Genomic DNA, 6,000 nt, shown 5'->3' on the forward strand with positions numbered 1-6,000 from the left:
GGAGGATTGCAATGAATGATTCTCCTTACAAACCTTGCGGTTATATGTTAATACAAAATAGATGTGTATTTATGACCAAAAAAAAGGGCCCATAGCCTAAAAAGATTCTCAGAGAAGTTTATTTTCTAAAATGTTAAAATTATTTTAGTAATAGTTAAGTGTCCCATAAATCTAAGTAATTTTGAATGCTTCACATTTCAAATTTATTGGAACCTAATATTATCTACTTTTTCACGTAAAAAAAAAAAAAAAAAAAAAGGTGTGTAACCTGATGTTCAAGAAAGGCAACAGGACGGATATGATTGCAAACTGAATGCCTTTCTAGAATCAAGCAGAATGTGCTCTCAACCTGCACGTTTAACATCACACTGACTGACAGATTTGGAGGGTAGGACAAAAGACCAAGAATGAAACAGAATTGAGAACTTCTAACATGACAGTGAATTTAACAGATTCATTAAATCCTATTTGCATATTAATTCCTACTTCTCTCAACTTTAAAATTTTGTAGGCAGAAGTTTTATGACTCTTCATGAATTTCAAAATTTAATTCTAATTTAATTCTAACATCTTAATTCTAAGTTAGCTTTGCAATAAAGATCAGTCCTCTTGAAGAAATTAACTAAATTTAGAATAAGACTAATCTGTCATAATTAACACAAATTTTCTCTATTTTTATATAGCAATGTTTTTCAACACAAACTTTGGATAACCTTAATAAAGTAACATAAAAACCACAGTCAAAATTCACAACTAGCACATAACTGGGAAAACCTTGGGTACAGTGATGGCTTTTTCAATATAATACCAAAGGCACATCCATCAAAGAAATAATTCATAGTGAAGCTTCATTAAAATTAAAAACTTCTGCTCTGAAAAAGACACTGTCAAGAGAATGTGAAGCCACAGATTGGGAGAAAATCTTTATAGAACACATACATATAAAGAACTAGTATCCAAAACATACAAAGAACTCTTAAAACTCAACAATGAGAAATCAAACCACCTAATTAAAAAATGCGGAGAAAGATCTAAACAGACACCTCACCAAAAAAGGGACACAGATGACAAGTATGCGTCTGAAAAGATGCTCATGTCATTTATCATCAGGGAATCGCAATTCAAGACAAAGAGAAACCACCACACACCTACTAGGATGGACAAAGTCTACATACTGACAGCACCAAATGCTGGCAAGGAGGTGGAGCAAAAGGAAATCTCATTCCTTGTCCATGGGAGTGCAAACTGGTGCAGCCACTTTGGAAGACGGTTTGGCGGTTTCTTATAAAACTAAACACTCTCACCATGCAATCCAGCAATCAGGCTCCTAGGTATTTACCCAAGTTGGAAACTTAAATTCACACAAAAACCTGCACCTGATGTTTACAGCTGGTCTATGAATAAACTGATGTTTATTCATAATTGCCAAAACGTGAAAGCAACCAACATGCCCTCCAGAGGGTGAAGGGATAAACTGTGGTACACCCAAACAGTGGAATACTATTCAGTGCTAAAAAGAAACGAGCTACAAGCCGTGAAAAGAAATGCAGGAACCTTAAATGCATCTTTCTAAGTGAGAGAAACCTACCTGAAAAAGCTACACACTGTGAATGCAACCAAATGACATTCTGGAAAACTATGGCGACAGTACAAAGATCAATGTTTGCCAGGGGTTCCGGGGAGGGAGGGTGCACAGAGGGTCTCTAAGGCAGCAAAACTCCTGTGTGTGACACTACAATGGTGGGCAAACGTCAGTACACATTTGTCCAAACCACAGAATGCACAACGAGTGAGCCCTCCCAGGTGAGGACCATGAGCCCGTGTAGGTCCACAGATTGTAACAAACGCACCATTCTGTGGGGGTGATGATAGTGGGGGGCTGGGGATCCATGAGAACTCTCTGTACTTTCTCCTCAAATTTGCTGGGCACCTAAAACTGGATACCTGAAAAATAGAGTCTATTAAAGTTTTTTCCCCCCAAAACCAACACACACTTTAGATGTACAGATAACAGGCCAGGCGCGGTGGCTCACGCCTGTAATCCCAGCACTTCAGAAGGCCGAGGAGGGCAGATCACCTGAGATCATGAGTTCGAGACCAGCCTGACCAACATGGACAACTCTGTCTCTACTAAAAATACAAAATTAGCCAGGCGTGGTGACACATGCTCGTAATCCCAGCTACTCAAGAGGCTGAGGCAGGAGAATCACTTGAACCCGGGAGGGTGCAGTGAGCTGAGATCACGCCACTGCACCCCACCCTGGGCGACAAGAGCGAAACTTCATCTCAAAAAAAAAAAAAAAAAAGTATAGATGACAATTGTGTAAAGGGAAAATCAGAAAAGGAGCTTTAACGAAGGCACTGCCAGCAATTGAATCTAGCTGGAGGATACGAGGAAGAATCTCCTATTCTTCTACTTTTCCGCATGTTAGAAATTTTTCAAAGTAAGAACTTAAGGCCAGGCGTGGTGACTCACGCCTGTGATCCTAGTACCTTGGGAGGCTGAGGCGGGCGGATCACGTGAGCCCAGGAGTTTCAGATCTGCCTGGACAACATAGCAAGACCCCATTTCCACAAAAACGGTTTTTTAAAATTAGCCAGGTGAGGTGGTGCGCACTTGTAGTCCCAGCTACTACAGAGGCTGAGAGAGGAGAATAGCTTGAGCCCAGGCAGGTTGAGGCCGTAGTGAGCCGAGATTGCGCCACTGCACTCCAGCCTAGTAAACGGGGCAAGACCCTGTCTCAAAATAAAAAATAAAAACTTAAGAAAAAAAAGTGGGTTTCAGGATTCATTAGGAAAAATGGGAGAACATAGGAAGACTCAGTTTAAAATTCTCAAGGCTCTATCCAGAAACAATAATATGGCTCATCTTTGACCAATATTAGTTATTTGTAGCTTCTGCAGTTAACTCTGTAGCCACATATAAATTCTCATCATTACATTCAAGAAGAGAGCTGTTTAGAGTAACTATAACATTCTGAAATTAAAAAAAAAAAAGGCACGTAAGCACTAACGCTACCTAAAAGAAATTTCTCAGACAAGTTCAGATAGTAACCATATTTAAGCGCTTAACATAATCGGCTCCATTTTCCATGAGTTAGGAATGGAATTTAACGTTCATAGAAAATCTCTATCAAGAAGAAACAACTCCAGACCCTAAGAGAAACTCTTCTGCTCAGAAACTATTTCCAAGTCCTCGGAAGACAGGTACAAATCCTTATATTCCATTCGGCCTTAACAGCATCAGGAGGAAGTTGCCACACGTTTAACAGAAAGAGATATTTTATGATCCAGAATGCTGGATTTCTGACCTAAATTTCATTGTACATGAAAAAGAGCACTGCAATGGAAAAAGGGAGGGGGGGGGAGGGGGTGGGGGAGGGCACGTCTAAGGCACACAGGGCCCACCTGGGAGCCCTTTCAATTACAAAATTCTAGACATACCAAACATATCTCTACACTCGTCAGGTAAAGGCCTTTCAGTTTTCAGTACAAAGGACTTCTGCCGGCTTCCTTCAGAAAAATCAAGAATTTAAGAAAATACTTGTTATGCAAACAAACATTTAGCCCACTTAACATTGAGCTACGGTCGTCCAAAGCTGCTTAGTGTCCGCGAGGAGGCCGTCCGGATGCGCGATGATTCAGGCCTTCTCCGCCAGCTCCACCCGGGACGCGAGCACCCGGCGTGGACCTCTGCGTCCCGGGCCCACGACGCCCGCGCCGCGGGGTGCGCGCACTGCGTCCCCGCTCTCCTGGGACTGCGCCCCGAGTAACACGTGCAGGGGGCACTGGGTCCCCTGCAAGCGGCGAGAACGCCGGCAGCCCTGGCCAGTTAAGCGGGGAGTGGGTCCACGCGGACCACAGCGGCAACTCAGCCCAGGACGAGCCTCGGGTCAAGTTCTCCGACTCCGCACTCGGGCACCTAGCGGGCCGCGCCCCGGAGCTACGCGGCCCCAACCTCACCTGCCCGCCCAAACTGTGCCCCCAACTACCCGCACCTCCACCTGCGCGCCGCCCACCCTCGCCCTCCACCTGCGCGCCCCCGGCCTACTAGCACTCCCCACCTGCGCACCCCCTCACCTGCGCCTGGGCGGCGGCGGCGGCGGCCGGTGGCGGCCCCCCACGCAGGCCGTCCTCCTCCTCGGGGGGCTCGTCCAGCAGCACTCGGCCCCGGCCCAGCTTCCACATGGTCAGGCGGGCTCCGGCGTCCCTCCGTCCGTGCGTCGGGCTGTGGCTCCGCGTCCCTCCCGGCCGCCGGACGCTCTGCCTGCGGCTCCTGCGGGACGCGGGCCCAGTGGGCCGGGCGGGGCTAGGCGGGGGCGGGGCACCCCCAGAACTAGGCCCGCCCCCTCCCCACCAGGCCCGCCCCAAACCCTCCCCAGGACCCGGCCCGCCCCCAAACCATCCCCAGAACCAGGCCCGCTCCAAGCCCTCCTCAGGACCAGGCCCGCCCCAAACCCTTCCGAAGACCAGACCCGCCCCCAAACCTTCCCCAGGACCAGACCCACCCCCAAATTCGACGGGGCTCCGAATCCCATCCCCCACAGAAAGGTCAACCCCGGCCCCCTCCTCCCAGTGTGGTCCCCGCCACCGCCCCGGCGAGACCCTCGCCCTTCACTGTTCTACTGAACGACGTCCTCACCCCAGGCTACCCCGTCACCTGGTCCCCCCACCTTGACCCCCACCTACCCGCCCCTAGCTGCTTCCTCACCCGGAAACGCCCCCATCCTGAGCCCCCACCGAGCCCCTAGCCCTGCCCTATCCCCGGTTCCCTGGGTCCTCCTCTACCCCCGAGCCCCCACCCGGCCCCCGCAAATTCCCCTCTCCCGGTTCTCTCCTTCTCCCCCGCCGACCCCCACTTACTCCCGGACTGCCCCCTCCCCCCACCCTTTCCCAGACCCTGGCCGGAGGGCGTGGCCACGTCCGCTCGGGTCACCAAGGCAACGGCCGGGAGCGCAGTGCGCATGCGCGCCGCTGGCGCTCAGGCCGCGGCAAGGCTGAGGGGAAGGTGGAGGGGGCACAGTCCGCGGAGCGGCGCCTGTACCCCAGCGCTTCAGGGCATCCCTCGGGGCCTGGGCGCCGGGCATCCGGGACTCATCCCCTCCGGCGCCCGAGGTCGCGGGATAGTGGGGGCGCCGGGAGGAAGCCTCGCCCAGCCCTGGTGGGCGGTGGGGCCGCTGGGGCCTGGGGCGCCGCGGGCTCGGCCCGGACTGACGGCGGTGGGGGGCGGGGATGGGGCCGTGGTGCCGGGCCGCGCAGAACCCTTGGGACCCCCGCGGCGCCCAGGTTGGGGCTCAGGGCCCGGAGAACGTTTTCCCGCGTGGCTATGGCTTTGTCAGAATCAGGAGCGGGAGAGGCGCCCACAGATTCCTGAGGGCAGAACCGCCTGGTTCCCAGGCCGAAAGGAGCCGGCGAGGCGACCCCCGATCCCGGGACGGAGCCGCGGGAACGGGGGATTCTAGGCGTCCGCTCCCGCCCAGCAGGTTAATTTTTCCCGCGACGCGCTTCGTATCGCTTCTTACACCAAATATGTATTCATGTGTTCAGTCATGTAAAAGCGCATTTTGAAGGAGGATCCAGAACTATGAGCTCCCTTGAAAACTGCAAGCTTCGTAACTTTACGACTCTTAAAAAAATGAAATGTACATTTTGAGTTTCCCAGAAGTGATGAGCAGCAAAGCTTTTAAGATGAAAGGGGCTCTGAACTGCCTTTGGGAGATGCCGGCCAGGATCCCGGAGAACCGAGGGGGTGGCGCCCGTGCCCAAGGCCTGGGGGGACCTGGGGCCCTGGCGCGGGACGCACAGGGAGGGCGGGGGCTGGGCCTGGCAGGAGCCCCCAGCCGAGTGGGAAGAGCCAGATAATAACCTAACGATACTAACCTAACTATACCGTCACCCAGAGAGGAGGGCAGCACCCCTCCCACATGCCTCCCTCCCCCGGTGACCGCTAAACCTACCGGCCGCAAACATCACGAAATAGAATTAAACACTGGCGCCTAC

The 6,000-nt window shown here is 51.9% G+C and overlaps 1 protein-coding gene across 4 annotated transcripts in view, besides 1 other annotated feature; it reads right to left on the bottom strand.

Annotated features, from left to right (window-relative positions):
- Positions 1 to 5,211, bottom strand: part of TDRP (testis development related protein) — a 55,835-nt gene extending 50,624 nt beyond the window's left edge. For 2 of the 4 annotated variants that reach the window (NM_001256113.2, NM_001384899.1), the window contains exon 1: positions 4,081 to 4,265. In NM_001256113.2, the coding sequence (NP_001243042.1) occupies positions 4,081 to 4,188 (108 nt within the window). In that variant the 5' untranslated portion in view covers positions 4,189 to 4,265. Of the gene's footprint in view, positions 3,514 to 4,080; positions 4,277 to 5,044 lie in introns of those variants that run through there. The other 2 variants (NM_175075.5, XM_047421392.1) reach the window with 2 other exon arrangements.
- Positions 5,244 to 5,744: an enhancer, noted in NCBI's record as "H3K27ac hESC enhancer chr8:495813-496313 (GRCh37/hg19 assembly coordinates)". NCBI's record gives its function as "activates a minimal SCP1, AML or CMV promoter by ChIP-STARR-seq in naive H9 embryonic stem cells {active_cell/tissue: H9 hESC(naive)}" and the evidence as "EXISTENCE:reporter gene assay evidence [ECO:0000049][PMID:30033119]".

Source organism: Homo sapiens, chromosome 8 (genome assembly GCF_000001405.40).
Source record: "Homo sapiens chromosome 8, GRCh38.p14 Primary Assembly".
NCBI lineage: Eukaryota > Metazoa > Chordata > Mammalia > Primates > Hominidae > Homo > Homo sapiens.